Source organism: Homo sapiens, chromosome 1 (assembly GCF_000001405.40).
Source record: "Homo sapiens chromosome 1, GRCh38.p14 Primary Assembly".
In the NCBI taxonomy this organism is placed as follows: domain Eukaryota; kingdom Metazoa; phylum Chordata; class Mammalia; order Primates; family Hominidae; genus Homo; species Homo sapiens.
Window position 1 is genome coordinate 72,980,031 of NC_000001.11, and position 24,112 is coordinate 73,004,142.

At 39.2% G+C, this 24,112-nt stretch overlaps 6 annotated features.

The window, feature by feature from the left end:
* Nucleotides 219-745: an enhancer, noted in NCBI's record as "OCT4-NANOG-H3K27ac hESC enhancer chr1:73445932-73446458 (GRCh37/hg19 assembly coordinates)". NCBI's record gives its function as "activates a minimal SCP1, AML or CMV promoter by ChIP-STARR-seq in primed H9 embryonic stem cells {active_cell/tissue: H9 hESC(primed)}" and the evidence as "EXISTENCE:reporter gene assay evidence [ECO:0000049][PMID:30033119]".
* Nucleotides 746-1,271: an enhancer, noted in NCBI's record as "OCT4-NANOG-H3K27ac hESC enhancer chr1:73446459-73446984 (GRCh37/hg19 assembly coordinates)". NCBI's record gives its function as "activates a minimal SCP1, AML or CMV promoter by ChIP-STARR-seq in naive and primed H9 embryonic stem cells {active_cell/tissue: H9 hESC(naive and primed)}" and the evidence as "EXISTENCE:reporter gene assay evidence [ECO:0000049][PMID:30033119]".
* Nucleotides 3,941-4,807: an enhancer, noted in NCBI's record as "H3K27ac hESC enhancer chr1:73449654-73450520 (GRCh37/hg19 assembly coordinates)". NCBI's record gives its function as "activates a minimal SCP1, AML or CMV promoter by ChIP-STARR-seq in naive H9 embryonic stem cells {active_cell/tissue: H9 hESC(naive)}" and the evidence as "EXISTENCE:reporter gene assay evidence [ECO:0000049][PMID:30033119]".
* Nucleotides 6,477-7,197: an enhancer, noted in NCBI's record as "OCT4-NANOG-H3K27ac hESC enhancer chr1:73452190-73452910 (GRCh37/hg19 assembly coordinates)". NCBI's record gives its function as "activates a minimal SCP1, AML or CMV promoter by ChIP-STARR-seq in naive and primed H9 embryonic stem cells {active_cell/tissue: H9 hESC(naive and primed)}" and the evidence as "EXISTENCE:reporter gene assay evidence [ECO:0000049][PMID:30033119]".
* Nucleotides 7,198-7,917: an enhancer, noted in NCBI's record as "OCT4-NANOG-H3K27ac hESC enhancer chr1:73452911-73453630 (GRCh37/hg19 assembly coordinates)". NCBI's record gives its function as "activates a minimal SCP1, AML or CMV promoter by ChIP-STARR-seq in primed H9 embryonic stem cells {active_cell/tissue: H9 hESC(primed)}" and the evidence as "EXISTENCE:reporter gene assay evidence [ECO:0000049][PMID:30033119]".
* Nucleotides 7,918-8,637: an enhancer, noted in NCBI's record as "OCT4-NANOG-H3K27ac hESC enhancer chr1:73453631-73454350 (GRCh37/hg19 assembly coordinates)". NCBI's record gives its function as "activates a minimal SCP1, AML or CMV promoter by ChIP-STARR-seq in primed H9 embryonic stem cells {active_cell/tissue: H9 hESC(primed)}" and the evidence as "EXISTENCE:reporter gene assay evidence [ECO:0000049][PMID:30033119]".

The window sequence follows — 24,112 nt, forward strand, 5'->3', positions numbered from 1 at the left end:
ATATTAACTATATATTAATTTTACCATTACATATAATCACGTTGTCTAGAGAAAGATATTCAAAACTAGATATTAATAATATATTTTAATGCTAAAATATATTTAATATTATAACATTGCATACGAATTTAGAATGCCATAAGACATTGGGGATCAAAACCTTTCTCATACTTTCAAATATATTTTCATGACACAAAGTGGAAAAATATGTTCTATTCCAGGTGGCATTATCCAAATTATGATATTTCTCATTCAAACCACTGTATTTTTCGCAAAAATAGTCATAAATCTGGGGTTTTCTTACTTAGAACCCTTTTCTTTCTAATCTCTTTAAAATATTTAAAAATGAACTTCAGCTAGGTGAACTGGATAAGAATTTGGAAGGAAGTCACCAAAATTGTAATGGTGGTTAATTTCATGTGCGTCCGTGTGAAGAGACCACCAAACAGGCTTTGTGTGAGCAACATGGCTGTTTATTTCACCTGGGTGCAGGCGGGCTGAGTCCATAAAGAGAGTCAGCGAAGGGAGATAGGGGTGGGGCCGTTTTATAGGATTTGGGTAGGTAAAGGAAAATGACAGTCAAAGGGGGTTTGTTCTGTGGAGGGGAGGAGTGGGGGTCGCAAGGTGCTTAATGGGGGTGCTTTTTGAGCCAGGATGAGCCAGGAAAAGGACTTTCACAAGGTAATGTCATCACTTAAGGCAAGGACCGGCCATTTACACTTCTTTTGTGGTGGAATGTCATCAGTTAAGGTGGGGCAGGGCATATTCACTTCTTTTGTGATTCTTCAGTTACTTCAGGCCATCTGGGTGTATACATGCAAGTCACAGGGGATGCGATGGCTTGGCTTGGGCTGAGAGGCCTGACATTCCTGCCTTCTTATATTAATAAGAAAAATAAAACAAAATGGTGTTGAAGTGTTGGCACGGTGAAAATTTTGGGGGGGTGGTATGGAGAGAGAATGGGCAATGCTTCTCAGGGTTGCTTCAAGCGGGATAACGGGCAGCATGGGAACTTAGCTGAAGGGAGGTCTTGTGGTAAGAGGTGATATTGTGGGGATGTTATAAGAAACATTTGTCATATAGAATGATTGGTGATGGCCTGGATATGGTTTTGGATGAATTGAGAAACTAAATGGAATAACAGAAGGAGAAAAACAGGTATAAAAGGTCTAAGAATTGGGACAACTCAGGATATCTGATTAGAGAGTGCCTAAGGAGATTCAGCATAGTCCTGCCAGCAAAGATTATTTATTTACTTCAAGAGTTAAGAGTGGCAGTTTGGGGATAGCACCAGGAGATATCAGCTGTGACGGCTTGGAAAAATGGTGTAAACCAGCAGTGTAAACAAGAGCAGGGCATGTATGAGTAGTTGAGAACGGTGAATAGGAGTATGACTAGACAGAAGATAGTAGGGATGACAAGTTTTTTGGGGGGCACAGTCTAAGTTGGTCTGGTGTATGGAATGAGACTGGGGCCTAATAAAAAGGAGCGTCTATACAGGAGCTCAAATGGGCTGTATCCTGTAGCATTCCGAGGACAGGCCTGAATTCTGAGAAGGGAAAGTGGTAAAAGTATTGTCCAGTCCTTTTTGGTGGCTGAGCTTGGTGAGGTGTGTTTTTAAAAGACCTTTAGTCCATTCTACTTTTCTTGAAGATGGAGGACCATAAGGGATATAAAGGTTTCACTGAATACTAAGAGCCTGAAAAACTGCTTGGCTGATTTGACTAATAAAGGCTCGCCTGTTATCAGACTGTATTGAGGTGGGAAGGCTAAACTGAGGAATTATGTCTGACAGAAAGGAAGAAATGACTGCAGTGGCCTTCTCAGACCCTGTAGGAAAGGCCTCTACTTATTTTGAGGGCCTCTAAAATTATTAAAGCAGCGGCAGCCTCTGCACGCAGACATGAGGGCTAGGCTAAAACAGTAAGGTCCAGTTGTTTGGACAGAAAGGCTACAGGGTGCGGTCCTGGCTCTTGTGTAAGAATTCTGACTGCACTGACCATGCCTAGGAAGGAAAGAAGTTGTTGTTTTGTAAGGGATTGAGGTTTGGGAGATTAATCCGACACGATCAGCAGGGAAAGCACGTGTGTTTTTATGAGAATTATGCCGAGATAGGTAACAGATGAGGATGAAATTTGGGCTTGACTGAAGTAATGGGGGCTGTCTGTGAAGCCTTGCGGCAGTACAGCCCAGGTAATTTGCTGAGCCTAATGGGTGTCAGGGTCAGTGTAAGTGAAAGCAAAGAGAGGCTGGGATGAAGGGTGCAAAGGAATAGTAAAGAAAGCATGTTTGAGATCTAGAACAGACTAATGGGTAGTAGAGGCAGGTATTGAGGATAGGAGAGTATACGGGTTTGGCACCACGGGGTGGATAGGCAAAACAATTTGGTTGATAAGGAGCAGATCCTGAACTAACTTGTAAGGCTTGTCTGGTTTTAGGACAGGTAAAATGGGGGAATTGTAAGGAGAGTTTATAGGCTTTAAAAGGCCATGCTGTAGCAGGCGAGTGATAACAGGCTTTAATCTTTTTAAAGTGTGCTGTGGGATGGGATATTGGCATTGAGTGGGGTAAGGGTGATTAGGTTTTAATCAGATGGTAAGGGGTGCGTGATCAGTTGCCAAGGAGGGAGTAGAGGTATCTTATACTTGTGGGTTAAGGTGGGGGGATACAAGAGGAGGACGCAAAGGAGGCTTTGGATTGGGAAGAAGGGTGGCAATGAGATATAGCTGTAGTCCAGGAATAGTCAGGGAAGCAGATAATTTAGTTAAAGTGTCTCAGCCTAGTAAGAGAACTGGGCAGGTGGGGATAACTAAAAAGGAGTGCTTAAAAGAGTATTGTCTAAGTTGGCACCAGAGTTGGGGAGTTTTAAGAGGTTTAGAAGCCTGGCCGTCAATACCCACAACAGTTATGGAGGCAAGGGAAACAGACCCTTGAAAAGAAGGTAATGTGGAGTGGGTAGCCTCTGTATTGATTAAGAAGGGGACGGACTTACCCTCCACTGTGAGTTACCTAAAGCTTGGCGTCCGAGATGGTCTACGGGGCTTCTGAGGTGATCAGGCAGCGTCAGTCTTCAGCCGGTAAGCCAAGAAGGAATCCGTCAGAGAGCCTTGGGCCAGAGTTCCAGGAGCTCTGGGAGTGGCTGCCAGGTGAGTTAAACAGTCCGATTTTCAGTGGGGTCACACACAGATGGGACGCGGCTTAGGAGGAATCCCGGGCTGCTGCGGGCGTTCCTTGGCCCAGTGGCCAGATTTCCGTCATGTGTAGCAGGATCCTGGAGGAGGAGGTTCTGGAGGAATGCCTGGCTGCTACAGTTCAGACGTTTGGAAGTTCTTGTGTGCTGGAGATGTGGCTGGGGTTTGTCTCACAGTGGAGGCAAGGAATTGCAACTTTTTTCTGTTATTACACACCTTGAAGGTGAGGTTCATTAAGTCCTGTTGTGGGGTTTTAGGGCCAGATTCCAATTTTTGGAGTTTTATTTAATGTCGGGAGCAGATTGGGTAATAAAATGTATATTGAGAATAAGTTGGCCTTTTGACCTTTTAGGGTCTAGGGCTGTAAAGCGTCTCAGGGTTGCTGCCAAACGAGCCATGAACTGGGCTGGATTTTTATATTTGATGAAAAAGCCTAAACGCTATCTGATTTGGGATAAAGAAAAAGGAGCATTAACCTTGACTATGCCTTTAGCTCTAGCCACCTTTTTAAGAATAAATTGCTGGGCAGGTGCGGGAGGGCTAGTCACGGAATGAAACTGCAAGCCGGAGCAGGTGTGAGGAGGGGAGGCGATAAAAAGATTATAGGGTGGAGCAGTGGAGGCTGAGGAAGAATTGGGACCTAGCTAAGCCCTTCGAGGAGGGGAGAGGTCAGATGGGTCTGTAGAAAAGGGAGATTAGAAAGACTCAGTGACGCTTGGGGTTGGTACTGAGGGGACAGGCGGGAGGGAAAGAAGGAAGATTTGGGATGAGTTGCACTGGGCACAGAGACTAGGAAGGGACTGATGTGTAAAAAGAATGCCTGGACGTCAGGCACCTCAGACCATTTGCCCATTTTATGACAAGAATTATTTAGATCTTGTAGGATGGAAAAATTGAAAGTGCTATTTTCTGGCTATTTGGAACTACTGTTGAGTTTGTATTGGGGTCAAGCGGCATTGCAGAAGAAAATAAGGCACTTAGGTTTTAGGTCAGGTGTGAGTTGAAGAGGTTTTAAGTTTTTGAGAACACAGGCTAAGGGAGAAGGAGGAGGAATGGAAGGTGGAAGCTTACCCATAGTGAAGGAGGCAAGCCCAGAGAAAAGAGTAGAGACAGGGAGAAAGGGCAGAGGGTTCTTGCCCTCCAGAAAAGCAGAGAAGGGGTTGGGGCACAGAAATAAGGGATGGGGGCACAGAGATAATAGGTCAGGGTGCAGAAATAAGTGATGGGGGCACAGAGATAAGAGGTTGGGTTGCCGAAATAAGCAATTGGGGGGTTCTTGCCCCCTAGGAAAACGGGACTTGCCGCTAAGGGTGAAGGAGAAGGGGTTGAGGGGTACTTGCCCTGCCCCAGGAAAGCGGGACTTGCTGCTAAGGGTGAAGGACCAAGGCAGGCATCCCTGCGTGGTCTGACACCCTTGAAATGTGAGTGTATAATCAGAGAGGCGTCCCTGCAATGATTAAACACCAAGGGAATGCTGCCTTCCCAGTCCGTGACCTGCGCTGGAGTTTTGGGTTCACAGATAAAACATGTCTCTTTTGTCTCTACCAGAAAATGAAAGGAATTGAAATTAAGAGAAGGGAGAGATTGAAGTGTGGTGCCAAGATTGAAAGGAGAAAGAGGTTGAGGGATAGTGAGGGAGGTTGGAGAAGAGAGTAAAAAGAGGCCGCTTACCGGATTTGAAATTGGTGAGATGTTTCTTGGGCTGGTTGGTCTGAGGACCTGAGGTCGTAGGTGGATCTTTCTCACGGAGCAAAGAGCAGGAGGACAGGGGATTGATCTCCCAAGGGAGGTCCCCCACTCCGAGTCACGGCACCAAATTTCATGCACGTCCGTGTGAAGAGACCACCAAACAGGCTTTGTGTGAGCAACATGGCTGTTTATTTCACCTGGGTGCAGGCGGGCTGAGTCCAAAAAGAGAGTCCGCGAAGGGAAATAAGGGTGGGGCCGTTTTATAGGATTTGGGTAGGTAAAGGAAAATGACAGTCAAAGGGGGTTTGTTCTGTGGCGGGGAGGAGTGGGGGTCGCAAGGTGCTCAATGGGGTGCTTTTTGAGCCAGGATGAGCCAGGAAAAGGACTTTCACAAGGTAACGTCATCACTTAAGGCAAGGACCGGCCATTTACACTTCTTTTGTGGTGGAATGTCATCAGTTAAGGTGGGGCAGGGCATATTCACTTCTTTTGTGATTCTTCAGTTACTTCAGGCCATCTGGGCATATATGTGCAAGTCACAGGGGATGTGATGGCTTGGCCTGGGCTCAGAGGCCTGACAGTTAAGGCTACGCTGTGTCTTAGAGAAAGGAAATAAAAGTGTATGTGACTATGCTGTGCACAGCAGAAGGTTGATATTACTTTTACAGGTGCCTGTACATGTAGATTCTAAGTTGGGGATAATTTATAAGCATGTCAAAACTTGTAAAATTTAGAAAATGTATTGTAATGAGATATTGTCATGGAAAGCCTAATATTCAGGTATTTGAACATTGCAGAACAGGACATTTCTATGTACTAATAATTTTGAGTACCTTGACGCCTGTTTTATGCTAAGTGTTTTGCTCCCTCAAAATTATCCTCTCATTTTACTCCATGAATCATGCAAATCACTGGTTAGACAATTTCGCTGAGTGGATAACTGATGGTCTGCTGTCCTAGGTTTAAATGAAGAATGCTCTTTTAAAGGTAAAGTTGAATTACGGTGGTAATCTTCTTTTTGGGTAAAATATGTTTCTAAAGTGGATCCTTAACATAACTGATTCCTAAATAACTTTACACTTGTAATCTATTTAAACAGGACTCTTGTGTTTGCTTGTGTGTGAAGGTCCAGTTAAAAAAACAAAAACAAAAACAAAAACACTCTGAATATCAAGCTTTGCTTTACCTACCACAGAAATCAGTGGTATTCTCTATGAAATAAGCTTCTGTTTCCATGGAGAGAATTTGACTGAGATATAAGTTGTTCTCATGCACATTATAAGGACAGCTGAACATTCTCAAATAATTTACTAGCAACATACATGCATTCTTTGCTTGGAGTAACCATACAGTATTTAACAGATAATTCAGTATTCAAAGATATCTATTAAAGTATTATCTTAAGTATGATGTCATTACCAGCTTTTTTGTATGGATACAAAATAACAAAACTCCACAAGGAACACATATTCAAGTTGGATAGATAACATGTAACACACCAAAACTTAAATTGAGAATTAAATTAAAACATGATACATGCTTCAAGAGAGGTCACCCAAATATGGGTTATTCAAGAAGCGATATAGTTAGGGATGAGTGCTAAAAAAAATTATTAAATGCGATCAGAAAAGGCTTTCAGGAAGTAGAGACTGAACTAGATCTTAAAGAAGAGGATTTGGTCATGCTAATTGAAATAGAGCTTGTATAATCTTTTGGGAATGAATGCAGGGCATCCTAGGAATCCTGGGGCCTGTAGATTGCAAAGATCAAAATGCATGTGTGGAGCTACAAGATATTGACACAAAGAATGGAACTTTGGAACAAAGTTGAGTCTCACTTTCAAGGCCAAGCAGAAGTCCCATTGTTAGAAGTTAAGTACAAGCTGTGAGCAAAAATAAGAAACATTATTAAAGTCATGTGGCCAGTGTGTATATCTGTGACATTCTCATTCAGAGATCCCATTTAACCTGCAAACATTGATCCTTTTGTGATTCAAGATTGCTAATTGTGCTGCCAAAGATGGTAAAGAAACTTATCTAAGCCATCTCTTCTCAGCACTATTCTAAGTACTTTAATACAGTTTTTTTTCAGGTGTCAAAAAACAGGCTCATATGTATTACAGAGAGCCAATTGAGGCTCAAAATCTCTCAGGTGTGGTACAGGTCTCTCTGACTCTGCTGTCTATGTTCTTTGTTAAAACGCATTCCGTAATCCCACTTCACAGAAGGCTGGCAAGTTGATTACCATGGCACTTACCACTCTTCTCTACATTTCTCTGGATGTGTCATGTTCTTTATTAAACTCAATCTCAATTTTGTTCAACTCCTCCCTGTTATATCTATCTGGAATAACTCAAACCTTTGATCACTGTTACTATAGTCACTCCCTTACCACCAACTCATTTCTGCAAAATCTGAAATGTCATTTATTCAGGTCCTCAACGACACCATACTTATCCAACTCAGTGCATATTTTTCAGCTTAGGATCCTGGTGGGCACCTCTGCAGTATTTAATATTGTTGATCATGGTATCTGTTTGGAAAAACTCCTGTTTCTTGCTTTTCATAGCACACTTTGCTACCTCTCACACCACTAAGGCCATTCATCTTTACTTCCTTATGGGTTCTACTTCATCTCACTTATTAACATGTGGAATTTTCTCCTCAAATTCTGACATGCACACAGCCCGAGGATAATCTCTAGTGAAATTATTTTAACTACTAACATACATTCTGAAGACTCAAAACTTCATATATTGTAATACCTCAGTTTGCCTGTCACTTCTCTGTCTAAATCACATTAATAGCTTCCCAACAACATATTCACATACCCCAGAGAATGGGAAATGATTACAAGATTCATGTTTGGTCTGTGCTCCATATTATTCCTTTCATGCGCGTCCGTGTGAAGAGACCACCAAACAGGCTTTGTGTGAGCAATAAAGCTTTTAATCACCTGGGTGCAGGTGGGCTGAGTCCGAAAAGAAAGTCAGTGAATGGAGATAAGGGTGGGGCCATTTTATAGGATTTGGGTAGGTAAAGGAAAATTACAGTCAAAGGGGGTTTGTTCTCTGGTGGGAAGGAGTGGGGTTCGCAAGGTGCTCAGTGGGGGTGCTTTTTGAGCCAGAATGAGCCAGGAAAAGGACTTTCACAAGGTAATGTCATCAGTTAAGTCAAGGACCAGCCATTTACACTTCTTTTGTGGTGGAATGTCATCAGTTAAGGTGGGGGAGGGCATATTTACTTCTTTTGTAATTCTTCAGTTACTTCAGGCCATCTGGGTATATACGTGCAAGTCACAGGGGATGCGATGGCTTGGCTTGGGATCAGAGGCCTGACATTCCTGCCTTCTTATATTAATAAGAAAAATAGAACAAAATGGTGTTGAAGTGTTGGGGCGGCAAAAATTTTTGGGGGGTGATATGGAGAGAGAATGGGCGATGTTTCTCAGGGCTGCTTCATGCGGGATTAGGGATGGTGTGGGAACCTAGAGTGGGAGAGATTAAGCTGAAGGGAGGTCTTGTGGTAAGGGGTGATATTGTGGGGATGTTAGAAGAAACATTTGTCGTATAGAATGATTGGTGATGGCCTGGATATGGTTTTGGATGAATTGAGAAACTAAATGGAATAACAGAAGGAGAAAAACAGGTATAAAAGGTCTAAGAATTGGGACGACTCAAGATATCTGATTAGAGAGTGCCTAAGGAGATTCAGCATAGTCCTGCCAACAAAGATTATTTATTTACTTCAAGAGTTAAGCGTGGCAGTTTGGGGATAGCACCAGGAGATATCAGCTGTGACGGCTTGGAAAAATGGTGTAAACCGGCAGTGTAAACAAGAGCAGGGCATGTATAAGTAGTTGAGAACGGTGAATAGGAGTATGACTAGACAGAAGATAGTAGGGATGACAAGTTTTTTTGGGGGCACAGTCTAAGTTGGTCTGGTGTATGGAATGAGACTGGGGCCTAATAAAAAGGAGCGTCTATACAGGAGCTCAAATGGGCTGTACCCTGTAGCATTCCAAGGACAGGCCTGAATTCTGAGAAGGGAAAGTGGTAAAAGTATTGTCCAGTCCTTTTTGGTGGCTGAGCTTGGTGAGGTGTGTTTTTAAAAGACCTTTAGTCTGTTCTACTTTTCTTGAAGATGGAGGACCGTAAGGGATATAAAGGTTTCACTGAATACTAAGAGCCTGAAAAACTGCTTGGCTGATTTGACTAATAAAGGCTCGTCTGTTATCAGACTGTATTGAGGTGGGAAGGTTAAACTGAGGAATTATGTCTGACAGAACGGAAGAAATGACTGCGGTGGCCTTCTCAGACCCTGTAGGAAAGGCCTCTACCTATCCAGTGAAAGTATCTACCTAGACTAAGGTATTTTAGTTATCTGACTCGGGGCATGTTGAGTAAAGCTAATTTGCCAGTCCTGGGTGGGGGCAAATCCTCGAGCTTGATGTGTAGGGAAGGGAGGGGGCCTGAATAATCCCTGAGGAGTAGTAGAATAGCAGATGGAACACTGAGAAGTTATTTCCTTGAGGATAGATTTCCACGATGGAAAGGAAATGAGAGGTTCTAAGAGGCAGGCTAGTGGCTTGTACTATAGTATAACCTGCCTTTGCTGTGTGTGGCGATTAGGCCTGGAGGAACCGCCATCAATAAATCAAGCGTGATCAGGGTGAGGAACAGGAATGAAGGAAATTTGGGGAAATGGGGTTAATGTCAGGTGGATCAGAGAGATACAGTCATGTGGGGTCAGGTGTGGTATCTGGAATAATGTGGGAGGCCGGATTGAAGTCTGAGCCAGGAACAACGGTAATTGTGGGACTTAAAAAAGAGTGAGTACAGCTGAAGGAGCTGGGGAGCAGAAAGTATATGCGTCAGGTATGAGGAAGAAAATAGATTTTGGAAGTTAAGAGAACTGTAGAGAGTGAGTTGAGCATAGTTTGTGATTTTGAGGGCCTCTAAAAGTATTAAAGCAGTGGCAGCCGCTGCATACAGATATGAGGGCTAGGCTAAAACAATAAGGTCAAGTTGTTTGGACAGAAAGCCTACAGGGTGTGGTCCTGGCTCTTGTGTAAGAATTCTGACTGCGCTAACCATGCCTAGGAAGAAAAGGAGTTGTTGTTTTGTAGAAGGTGCTTGGGTTTGAGAGATCAGTTGGACACGATTGGCAGGGAGAGCACTTGTGTTTTTATGAGAATTATGCCAAGATGGGTAACAGATGAGGAAGAAATTTGGGCTTGATTGAAGTAATGGGGGCTGTCTGTGAAGCTTTGCGGCAGTACAGCCTAGGTAATTTGCTGAGCTTGATGGGTGTCAGGGTCAGTCCAAGTGAAAGCGAAGAGACGCTGGGACTAAGGGTGCAAAGGAATAGTAAAGAAAGCATGTTTGAGATCCAGAACAGAATAATGGGTTGTAGAGGCAGGTATTGAGGATAGGAGAGTATATGGGTTTGGCACCACGGGGTGGATAGGCAAAACAATTTGGTTGGTAAGGCGCAGATCCTGAACTAACTTGTAAGGCTTGTCTGGTTTTAGGACAGGTAAAATGGGGGAATTGTAAGGAGAGTTTATAGGCTTTAAAAGGCCAGGCTGTAGCAGGCGAGTGATAACAGGCTTTAATCTTTTTAAAGCGTGCTGCGGGATGGGATATTGGCATTGAGTGGGGTAAGCGTGATTAGGTTTTAATGAGATGGTAAGCGGTGCATGATCGGTCGCCAAGGAGGGAGTACAGGTATCTTATACTTGTGGGTTAAGGTGGGGGGATACAAGAGGAGGATGCAAAGGAGGCTTTGGATTGGGAAGAAGGGCGGCAGTGAGATATAGCTGTAGTCCAGGAATAGTCAGGGAAGCAGATAATTTAGTTAATGGGGATAACTAAAAAGGAGTGCTTAAAAGAGTATTGTCTAAGTTGGCACCAGAGTTGGGGAGTTTTAAGAGGTTTAGAAGCCTGGCCGTCAATATCCACAACAGTTATGGAGGCAAGGGAAACAGCCCCTTGAAAAGAAGATAATGTGGAGTGGGTAGCCTCTGTATTGATTAAGAAGGGGACGGGCTTACCTTCCACTGTGAGAGTTACCCGAAGCTGGGCATCCGTGATGGTCTAGGGGGCGTCCAAGGTGATCGGGCAGTGTCAGTCTTCAGCCGCTAAGCCAAGAAGATCCGGGAAGGAATCAGCCAGAGAGCCTTGGGCCAGAGTTCCAGGAGCTCTGGGAGTGGCTGCCAGGTGAGTTGAACAGTCCGAATTTCATTGGGGTCCCACAGAGATGGGACGTGGCTTAGGAGGAATCCTGGGCTGTGGGCATTCCTTGGCCTAGTGGCCAGATTTCCAGCACATGTAGCAAGCTCCTGGGGGAGGAGGTTCTGGAGGAATGCCTGGCTGCTGCGGTTCAGGCGTTTGGAAGTTCTTGTGTGCTGGAGATGTGGCTGGGGTTTGTCTCACAGTGGAGGCAAGGAATTGCAACTTTTTTCTGTTATTGTACACCTTGAAGGTGACGTTAGTTAAGTCCTGTTGTGGGGTTTGAGGGCCAGATTCCAATTTTTGGAGTTTTATTTAATGTCGGGAGCAGATTGGGTAATAAAATTTATTTTGAGAATAAGACGGCCTTTTGACTTTTTAGGGTCTAGGGCTGTAAAGCGTCTCAGGGTTGCTGCCAAACAAGCCATGAACTGGGCTGGATTTTTATATTTGATGAAAAAGCCTAAACGCTATCTGATTTGGGATAAAGAAAAAGGAGCATTAACCTTGACTATGCCTTTGGCTTTTTAAGAGTAAATTACTGGGCAGGTGCGGGAGGGCTAGTCACGGAACGAAACTGTAAGCCGGACCAGGTGTGAGGAGGGGAGGTGATAAAAAGATTATAGGGTGGAGCAGTGGAGGTTGAGGAAGAATTGGGACCTAGCTCGGCCTGGCGAGGAGCAGCCTGGGGAGGAAGGGAGAGGTCAGATGGGTCTGTAGAAAAGGAAGATTAGAAAGACTCAGCGAAGCTTGGGGTTGGTACTGAGGGGACAGGCGGGAGGGAAAGAAAGAAGATTTGGGACGAGTTGCACTGGGCACAGAGAGTAGGAAGGGATTGATGTGTAAAAGAATGCTTGGATGTCAGGCACCTCAGACCGTTTGCCTATTTTACGACAAGAATTATTTAGATCTTGCACGATGGAAAAATTGAAAGTGCCATTTTCTGGCTATTTGGAACTACTGTCGAGTTTGTATTGGGGTCAAGCGGCATTGCAGAAGAAAATAAGGCATTTAGGTTTTAGGTCAGGTGTGAGTTGAAGAGGTTTTAAGTTTTTGAGAACACAGGCCAAGGGAGTAGAAGGAGGAATGGAGGGTGGAATGTTGCCCATAGTGAAGGAAGCAAGCCTAGAGAAAAGAGAGTAGAGAAATGGAGGGAAGGGGTTTGGGGGTTCTTACCTTCCAGAAAAGTTGGAAAAGGGGTTGGGGTGCAGAGATAAGAGGTTGGGGTGTGGAAATAAGGGATTGGGGCACAGAGATATAAGAGGTCGGGGTGTGGAAATAAGGGATTGGGGCACACAGATAAGAGGTTGGGGCATGGAAATAAGGGATTGGGTGTTCTTGCCCTGTAAAAAAGCAGGACTTGCTGCTAAGGGTGAAGGAGAAGGGGTTGAGGGGTACTTGCCCCTGCCCCAGGAAAGTGGGACTTGCCACTAAGGGTGAAGGAGAAGGGGTTGAGGGGTACTTGCCCCTGCCCCAGGAAAGTGGGACTTGCCACTAAGGGTGAAGGAGAAGGGGTTGAGGGGTACTTGCCCCTGCCCCAGGAAAGCGGGACTTGCCACTAAGGGTGAAGGACCAAGGCAGGTGTCCCTGCATGGTCCAACACCCTTGAAACGTGAGTGTATAATCAGAGAGGCGTCCCTGCAATGATTAAACACCAAGGGAAGGCTGCCTTCCCAGTTCGTGACCAGTGCCGGAGTTTTGGGTCCAGGGATAAAACGTGTCTCCTTTGTCTCTACCAGAAAATGAAAGGAATTGAAATTAAGAGAAGAGAGAGATTGAAGTGTGGTGCCAAGATTGAAAGGAGAAAGAGGTTGAGGGATAGTGAGGGAGGTTGGAGAAGAGAGTAAAAAGAGGCCGCTTACCGGATTTGAAATTGGTGAGATGTTTCTTGGGCTGGTTGGTCTGAGGACCTGAGGTCGTAGGTGGATCTTTCTCATGGAGGAAAGAGCAGGAGGACAGGGGATTGATCTCCCAAGGGAGGTCCCCCGATCCGAGGAGTCATGGCACCAAATTTCATGTGCGTCCATGTGAAGAGACAAACAGGCTTTGTGTGAGAAACATGGCTGTTTATTTCACCTGCGTGCAGGTAGGCTGAGTCCGAAAAGAGAGTCAGCGAAGGGAGATAAGGGTGGGGCCATTTTATAGGATTTGGGTAGGTAAAGGAAAATTACAGTCAAAGGGGGTTTGTTCTGTGGCGGGCAGGAGTGGGAGTCGCAAGGTGCTCAATGGGGGTGCTTTTTGAGCCAGGATGAGCCAGGAAAAGGACTTTCACAAGGTAATGTCATCACTTAAGGCAAGGACTGGCCATTTACACTTCTTTTGTGGTGGAATGTCATCAGTTAAGGTGGGGTAGGGCATATTCACTTCTTTTGTGATTCTTCAGTTACTTCAGGCCATCTGGGCATATATGTGCAAGTCACAGGGGATGCGATGGCTTGGCTTGGGCTCAGAGGCCTGACAATTCCTACCTTTACTTCGCAGTTCCCTAAGTCAACTGAAGAATGGTGAGTTTCATACATTTGGAAAGGAGAGCCTTTTTTCTCATAAAGTGCTGCAGCCTTCAGAGTGTCCATTCAGACAGGTTGGGAGGCACTGCCTCCAGCCAGAAACTGGAAACATATATTTTGAGGGAGGGAAACAGAGAAAAGGAATTTATGCTGAGTGTGGCGACCAAATATTTAATAAGCTATCGAGGAGTCCTGGATGTTTATGAAAGGAGAAATATACCCGTGGGCAATTGAGATTCATGCTCCCTTATGGAATTCATGTACAAAAAAATGACCACGTTAGCATGATCTGAGTGTGTAGTTTGTGGCCCTCTGACATCAAAAGATGAAGCTGTGGACACAAAATCTCTTACTGCATGTTCATAGTTCTCCATAGACAAGCCAGAACCACTCCATGGTTGGTGATTACTTATCAGGCAAAAAAGGAGGGACAGAAAATGTAGATGGTTTGTTGATATCAGTGGCAGAGTCTTTTGAAATGGCTTGTTTCTGTTAAGCCCATAGGGAAGAAAGCCTAATTATGGTTGGCAAGGGAGGATGTATATCAAGGTGTATCTGATCCCCTCATGTCATGGCTGAGAACTCAGTTTTCAAGGTTACTCTGGGTTCTCTTTGGCCAAGAGAAGGTCCATTCAGTCTGTTAAGGGGCTTAGAATTTTAATTTTAGTTTATACCCATATTCACTATACAATGGTTTCCCTTTATGCAAGTGCTTCTTCTGCTTCTAATTAACCTCCCATTCTTCTCATCCTCATATACTCGATTTGCTTGGCTAACCCATATATAAATGTCTAAGACATATTGAAATTCCTTTAATCTTAAGAAAGTTTCCATTGATTTTTTGCACACTTCCTCTGTGCATACAGCTTCCCAGTAGACTAAACTCTCCACTGTCATGCTTGGCTAATAACTATTTGTATTGTTTTATTATTACTCTGGCATAATGTTTGTTAAATAACTATCTAAATGCTTACCTTGCTGCACAATGCTTTGTGTTAGAGTATGCAAAGTGTAGGGCCTTGTTTTCATTTCTAGGGTAACCACTAAAAATTATTTAAAAGTGAATAATTTTAAGGCAAAAGGAAAATGGAATAAGTAAGATATATCTGAGCGGTGTGAAAGAAGAGAAGGAAGTAGAGAAAGGGTACATAAAACAGGAATAATAGACAACAAAAAATAGATCTGTATGTCATTATTTACATAAAATGTATTTGAATTCTAGATAAAAAAGAAAGATTATCACACATGGTGAATAAAACAATATCCTACTTGTAAGAAACATATTACAAGTAAGTGCATAGAAAAATGCATAGCAATTTTGCAACTAAATGTGTGGAAGAGATACACACTGCAAACAGTATCCCTATTCCTCCTTGTATCTCTGCAAACACACAAAATCTGGTACATTTATACTGATAACAGAAAAAAATAGACTTTAAGGAAGAAAAGTTTCAAGAGATATAGAAGGCCTTACATTATGATGAAAATAGAATATCTAACAATGAAGAATCTCTTTGCATGCAATAATATACCTTTAGAATATATAATGAAAACACAGACAGAATTAAGAGGAGAGACATATACTTACTCCTAGAGGAAACTTTAACACACCTCTCTCAATAACTGATCAAAAAAGCAGACAATAATTCATCAAGCATATAGAATATCTGAGGAACAAAAATAACATTGATCTAATCAACATCTATAGAATAAGACATCCAATATTGATAGCATATCCATTTCTTCAAGCATCCATGAAACACAGAAGCTGATCATCTGCCAGGCCATAGAGGGATTAGACTAACCTTGCTTGCAAATGAAGGCCTTAGACAAACTCTAACCATAGTCAATCATGACTGAGCAAAATCTATAAAGATTAGCTGTTCCTTTCCTGAAACCATATCCTTCAGTGTAAAAGACAGGTTACATACACTTCTCAAAGGAGTGGTAGAAATTCCCTTTTAGATTATGATCACCAGATTCTAGAAAAATGCAAAGTAAAAGAAGTGAAAAATTCTTTAGTAGTTGACAATAATGTAGGAGATAGGGCAGGACTTAATGTGTCTCAATTTCTACTGGGTCATATCTCATCTCCTTTATATTTCTATCCTGTGAGTTTGGCTTGGGTGAAGCCCTCAGAACTAAGGGATTCTGGTTGAGGCATATTTTTTTAACTTCTTCAAATGCATTACTCTTGAGAGAGGAGACAGAATTGAACACCAGAGATATTTTTGGTGTTTATATTGTATTAGGGCAGAGAGAGGAGATTCCCATGTATTAATTAAAGAAAGAAAATTAAAAGTTTTCATTAAAATGTCTGGTCACAAGATCTTGATAATGAGTTGAATCAATTATACATATTTTAATTTATGATATTCTAATTAGGCTCTATTGTAATTGAAAGAAAATATTTGGTTTATTAATTAGTTATATTCACAAGACAATCTGTATTTTTCAATATTAGAATGCTGTTGGGAAAAGTTTAGAGGAGACAGATATGCAAAACATAAATATTACTCATTATGATAAGTGAAATAATAGAAATATAATTACTTTAATTACAATTGCTATCTTATTTTTGCTCTCATTTTAATACTAGTATGGTATTCTAGTATATAGTAAATCCTAAAAAAATATTAATTTATGAACTCAACAAAATGTTATAAAAACAGAATAGTGAGTTACTACATAGCATAGAGGAACATTGTTCTTTTTCTGTATTAGAGATTTTTCATCTATAAATATGGATTTGATATTAAATATAGGCATAGCACAATGAAGTTATTAGCCAATATTTGGTCACATTAATTCTTCATAATAGTAAGTAGCTTTAAAAGAGGTTATGGGGTGTCCTGGAGAGTGTAAAGTTTGGGGATAGGAAAACAAACACTAATTGACACTATAACTCTAAATGTGCCCTTCCATTTTCTGGTCCCCAAGTCCTCCCATGATATAGTGAGGTCATTTGTTTTAAAGGCTTTTTAAAGTCATTTTGATAGTAAATGGCAATAAGATAAAGATAAATCACTATTAGAAAGTATGTTTGTATGTACATTTATAATATGTTCTATGTTGATAGAAATAGAGTAGATGCTTCCTGTCTTCTTAATTAAAATTATGGATTATAACACACAAACACACACACACATGCACACACACACACACACAACCTACTATAGTATGCAATCTCTTTGATTAGCTAAATTCAACAAAGGGAAATCAGTTGTAAGCTTTCTATTTTTACTCTTAAGAAAACTAACACCAGGTTTTCTCTTACTGAGTATAAAATAAAAGTGCCATTGTAGTAACCCAATCTTTCATAGATTTTAAAGGATTTAATACGTATATTTGTGGCTATAATGTATTTAAAATTTTTAAAGGTTCCTAGAGCATAATAACGAAATGATCTCATTCTCTCACAAATTAAGACCAACCATACAGATTTTTTTCTTATTATTCTTGTGTATGAAGTTAATCCTCACTGAGCTCTCATAAAGACTTCTTTAAGCCATCCAGGTGAGGGAGAAGCAGCCCTAATGAGCATGAATCAGTGGCATTTGATCTCCACCATAGTAAAATTCCGACACGGATATAATCTTTTGCTCTTCCAAAGGCTTTTAACATGAAGAATAAAGAACTCAAAATCTCCAACATCAGCAAGCCTTTAAACTAGTTCTTTCTTCTATCCAACAGCTTACCCTCCATTATTTTGCAAAAATAAAACTACAAGTGTTTTATAGGTTTCATTTGGAGAGAATGTGGGAATTGTAGTAGAAAAGGGACCTATATTCCTTCTATTAGGGTTCCTGTTTCTTCCATTTGATCAGGGGAACTTTCCGTTCCAGAGCTTATTGAGTCAAAGTGGCAAATAGAAAGAAATGAGTTTATACCATGTGTCAGTGAAGTTACCACATAAGTGTGGATTTATATGTGAAATATTTTAGATGAATTAAGTGCTCCTTTGGGAAATATCTGGAAAGTACACACAAACACAGATGAGCCAAATGGAAACAGCGATCATAAATTAAGTACATTCTCATTACCTTTTCACACCCCCGACTAGAAACAATAACCTCTCCTCCAATAAGCACACAGTTTCAGAAAAAAAGATTAGTGTACCCAAAGGGCAAAGCAAACAGATATATCTTGTGGTATGTTCGAACAATTGTAAAGCTGTACCTCTGGCAAATGATGGGTGGGCGTGAATTAGAGAGGTCTAGGTGAATTATAGAGGTGGGAATCTTCCATCAAGGAGGCCCAGCTGTCTGCCTCAAGGTGCTTGACCCTGGCAAGAGAAAACAGGAGCAGTAAAGCCAGAGATGTTTGTTGCAGAGGAAATACAAGAAATAAGTGAGGGTCTTATAACTGGGGCCTGGCCAGGGTAGGAAATATATTCTACCATGAGGTCTCTTAAAGTTAAATTTAAATCTAAGTCATATTATTAGACTGAACCTGTAATTGTATACATAATGTATTACACACACACACACACATACACGCACACTAGTGACCATAATATTGGATCTTCAGGAGACAGAATTTTTTCATCTTTTTTTTTTAAAGGGTTGATATCAAAAAGAAAGCACAGGTAATTAGAGTATCTCAGCAAACTTGAGGATTTCTCTCTGACACATACTTAGTTCTTGATGTTTTTTGGTGGCTGTTCTCATTAAATTTTGTATAACAGAAAACCTGAACAAAAGCCAGTACAGTGTTAGGGAACAATGATTCACTTTTGCACGGAAAAGGAGATTTATGGAGAAAATCACTTGTATCTGACAGTCACTGACATCAGTCCTTAGTTCATGAAAAGTGACTGGGGCCTGATAGATCCTTCTCTGTTCATCATAAAGCTAGTGTTTTTCTTGTCTCAGCAATGAGTAGAAAAAGGAATAATGATTATATTGATGTGCTAGACAAAAAAAAAAAAAACTTTTGTAACTGAGGAAAAGTTTTTACAAATTCAACATTGAATCATTAGAAATGCAGGTTAGACAACTGAAGGTATTTCACAGAATAACATCCCTCCTTTGTTTTTTTCCTAAATAAAATGTTTATTTAAAAACAGATATTAAAAACATAAAATGTTTATAAAATAAAATTAGCCAGCACAATATTCCAAAGTAGAATGAAAAGATGTGACTTCTTAGAAAAAACAGGCCAGTGATGTTTTAGTACTTAAAGCAAATGTACAACACTTACTGGCTCACTTAATTTCTCATTGCTAGTAGTTTTTCTTGTTAAGCAGAAGAAGAAGCTGGCCTTCTGATTGAACTACATTATTAGTATCAAAATTTGTCAGGCAGTGAATAATGCTTCTAGTATGAACCTTTAGCTTCACCAGATTAAATAAAGCTCCAAACAGTCCCAATGACTTAATCTGCTCTTAAATAGAAATTCTTTTTCCAGAAGGCTTGTATTTTTGCCTAGAATTATATCAGACATAGTTTTACTTTGGCTGTATTAGTGATAAGACTACCTCATACCAAATAAGTAAAGGTAGTTTATTATAAAGAATAATTTTAAGTGGTATGAAAATTCCATGAAATTTAAAGAACAGAAGCAATAGCTATAGTAGGGTCCTTATCTAGATTTTCTAAAGGTGGAAACACTACTTGATTTAATATAAGACAAGGACTTAGCAACAGTACCTGGCTAGAAAAGTGCCTTGTTGAGTGAAAAGAAATGTGAACCATCCATATGGCTCTATGTGGTCTATAGCTGTCAAAACTTGGGCTCTTTCCAAAGACTAATGCAGACTAGAGCCTAGCCTTGACCATTCCCTAGTACTCATTTCCAGAGAGGCGTTTAAAAGCCTAGGGGAACACAATAACAAGTGAAGATTCCAACTCAAAATAAAACAGCTGAACTACCTATGAAATCTACAGCAAAAGCGTTGGAACAGATAAACCAAGAACTTAAAACAATGATGAATGCATTTAGAAAGATAAAGGATATTAGCTATTTGAAAAAATAAGATAACATTAAGTGGCTATGTTAAATATCAAAAATATAGTTTTAAAAAAGGTAACCCAATAGATAAAGATAAAATAGTAGAATGGATAAAGAAAAATAAAAAAATGATTTGGAAGATCAGTGTGAGTCTCTCCTGCAGAGAGCAACAGGACATAAATAAGACAGAAAAAACTTTATACATAAATATACATAAACATCTATATATGTATATATATATACACACACACACATATATATATATATACACAAAACCAAGGGGCCATTGAATAACATTTTAATGTTTTATTTAATAGATGTTGACCTTATCATTTATATACAGAAAATTGTTCAAGTTACTGTAATATTATAATATAATATCAGAAATGACCATTCAGCAGATTTGTCCCCAAGACTCATAATGTATGTGTGAGGACGACTCTTAGATAGCATAGTACCAACACAGAAAAAGAAATAGAACTTTTAGACAAGCAGAATTAATCTCAGTCTATTTAAGAAAAATCAAGAGAGAAAGGAAACAAAAGGAGGCAACAATAAAAGGAAAATAATATCAGGATTAAGTCCTGATGTAATAGCAACTACAGAAATGTATGATTTAAAGGCATTAATTGAGACATAGGTAAACATTTGTAATCAAATTAATTCACATTAAATTAAATAAATTTAACCTACACCTATTAGGAAAAAGTATAAAGTGACATAAAGTGACACAAAAGCAGAAAAGTAGGAGTATAAAAATCCTCATGCTCTCTACAAGAAAATGTAGGCTGAGGTATCCATTCAGAAGGCATTTTGGTACTAATTATTCAAATTAAGTCAAACATACCCTGTGATCCAGCAATTCCAGTCCTAAGTGTATATCCCAGGGAAATCTTTGTACAGTATGTGAGGAGACATGTTCTAGGCTATTCATTGACTCATTACCTGTGTTCAAATGTTTGAATACTCTCAGTCTCCGTAACATATTTATGTAGGCAAAATACGATGAATGTGGACCATGTGTTCTCATACAACAATAAAAAATGGAATAGCTTTAAAACTAGCAACATGGGTAGATCTTAAAAAATACACTTAACTTTTTTTTTAATTAAGAAGAGAGAGACAATGATGCATTAAACATGTTTAATGTAAATTAAAAATACATAGCCCTAAAACATTGGCATACATTTTTCTAACAGACATTTAAATATGATAAATGCCTGGGCTATATTAGAATTGTTATCTGAGAGACAGGATGAGACAGGGGTAGGAGCATGGGAATAAAAATAAGTAAATAAACAAACCATGAATGGAGAAGTTAATGATGGAGATACACTATGAATTTTGGGAGTATAATTAATGCAATCCTTTTCTTATCCTGTGTGTTTTTACCTCAGTTTCATGTAATTTTAAGACACATAAACATATAAATAAATATATGTGAATAAATGGTATGGCTAATAAAATGATTCCTGCTTTATGATTAAATCAGTGGTGATTTATATTGTTATCGTTTTTGTTATTCTAATACTATCTACATTGAATTTGTGCTGTATTATTAATAAAAAAGTCAATTAAATGTAAAGAAAATTAATACCAAATATAGATTAGGAGAGGAGATAATTTTCTTGAACATGTTCATTTTGAGTTGCTTGAAGACATCCAGAAAATATATATAATTGAAATTCAGAAATATTAGTTTGAGTCACAGAGATCTGGAGTAATTTATTTATCAGTGATCAACATCACGGGTAGTCAAGACAATTAGGTGAATGTGATAATACTGAGAGTCTGGAGGCAAAGAAAGTAATTGAATATGTATGCACCCTAAGGAATCCCAACATATAATACAAAGTAAATTAGCAAATATTATTAGATTTTACTAACAGAATTTGTCTACTTTTTTCACACCATTATATTTTTTTTATCCATACAAGCAAAACCAGATAAAGCTAAATGTTTAAAGCACGGAAGTAGCAAAGCAAGAAGGTTCTTAGGATCAGAATGGAAATGCATTGAAGTTGTTAAGATTTTGGCAAGTATGCAAAGGTTTTCAGGAGTGTGTAAAACTTAATGCTCAGTGTTGCAGGTTACGCTCAAGGTTTCCAATTGGGTCATTAACCGGGAGCTTCCAACATAGATTTTTGATATTGCCTTTTAAAATAAGTTAAAACTAGCATTTTATAAATGAAGAGCAGTGGGAGAAAACATATTAACATGTACTTCAATTCAAGAATATGAAGACCAATACTAATAATATATTTCATTCAATTAAATTCCACAGTAATTGCATATGTTACAAGAACCATCCATCCATATGGTGCTTATATTTGAGTCACCGGATTTTGGAATCTCAATTGCCTAAACTTTACTGCATCTGTAAAAAGTTGTTAGTGGAATCAACTCAGTGAAATTCAAGAACTTAGATTTGCACCTAAATTTATCCTTGTAAGTGTCAAACATTTAAAATCCAGTAATTATTGATGCACAGGAATCTAAACTGTTTATGTTTTGGAGAAGGGAAAATTACATTGAGCGGAACAGACATTTCAGGAATACCTAATATGTTTCAAACAAACTGGGTCGCTATCACCATTGTAACATTATTTCAATAAGTCTTTTATGAATGTGGTATCATTATTTCTGTTTTAGTAAGTAGAAATAAATAGATATATTTGATAGACTACCTAACAATCCAAAGTAGCAGAGCTAATAAGTGCTGGAGCTTATTTTTAAAATTGGCAATTTTCTAGAAATTAAATATTTTATAACAGCTGACAATCCGATTATTAAATTTATTTGGAAATGTGAATAACCTAGAATAGCCAAAACAATTTTTGAAAAAGAGAAACAAAGTTAGGGGACTTAACATACCTGATTTCAGGACTTATTCTAAAACTACAGTAATCAAAAGAGAATGGTGTTGGCATAAGGATAGATAATACAAATCAACTGAGCAAAATATAAAGTTCAGAAACAGATCCACAGCCAACTGATTTTCATCAAGGTGCCCAAGTAGTTTAATAAAAGGGGTAATAATTATAACAACTGTTGCTAAAGCCATTGAATTGTTATATGGAAAAACTGAATCCCAACTTTTATTTCATATCATAGGCAGAAATTATCTTGAAATAAAGATAGACCTAAACACAAGAACTAAATCTATAAAAGTTGTAGAAAAAATAGGAAAAAAATTGTGTAACATTGGTTTAGGCAAAAATTCTTAGGACACAAAAAGTACGAATCTTTTACAAAAAACAATCTATATTGACATTTGACAAAATTAAAAGTACATGCTCATCAGAAGACACTATAAAGAAAATAAAAACACAAGCTATATAGACTGAAAGACAATATTTGCAAAATATATATCTAATAAAGAACTTGCCTACAGTATTAAACATAATTTCCTATGATGCAATAATAAAACAATCAACCATATTAAAAACTGCACAAAAGACCTGAAGAGCCATGTCGCCAAAGAAGGGCTAATAAATATATGAAAAGATGCTTAACATCATTTGTTTTAGGAAAATGCAAATCAAAACATCAGTGAGATATGACTACACAACTACTGCAAAGCCTAAAATTGAAAGAATTAACAAGATAGATATTGGCAAAAAAGTGAAGCAACTATGACTTTTGCATGTTACTAGTGGGAATGCAATACTTTGGGAAACAGTTTAGTTGTTTCACAAGAAGTTGAACACACACCTACTATATGACCCAGGATTCTCACTTTTAGATGTATACATAGAAAAATTAAAAACATATATCCACACAAAGAATTAGACACAAATGTTCATATCTTTATTTCCAATAGCTAAAAACTGGCAACAATTAAAATGTCATCAATTCTGAAAAAATAAACAAAGTGAGGTATATACAGACAATGGAATACACCATTATTACTAAGTAATAAAAATAGATTCACAATCATGCAAAAACATGCATGACTCTCTAAAACATTTTGCTAACAGGAAAAAGAACAGACACAAAGAAACACATATTTTATTATTCCATTTATAAAATAATTTTGGAAGACGTAAAAATTGTGACAGAAATCAGAGCTGCAGTTTCAGAGACCAGTGGTTTGAGGAAGGGATTAATTGCACAATGGGGTGCAGGAACTTTGGGGGTGATACAAAAGGTTTCTACATCTCACTTTTTAAGGTAGTTACATAAATATATACATTTGTCAAGTCATTGACTTCTACACTTAAAGTCAATGAATTATACTGTATGTAAATTACACCATAATAAAGCTGATTTTTACAAAAGTCAGATTTAGCTAATTTTGAGACCATACTAATAAGCTTGATATGGCTGTATCATTAGTCATGCCTTAAAGTATGCACAATATTTTGCATTAAATTTTAGCATTTGGGCATTGATCTGTTGACACTCCATCTATGTATTCAGTTAGAAAATGAAGCACTCTATTTTTATTTTGAAAACACAAATGCTTTCTGATTCTGGCCTACCAGACATTTACGTTAAATAATGTATCTAATAGTGATTTAGCACTGTTTTCTGTTGAC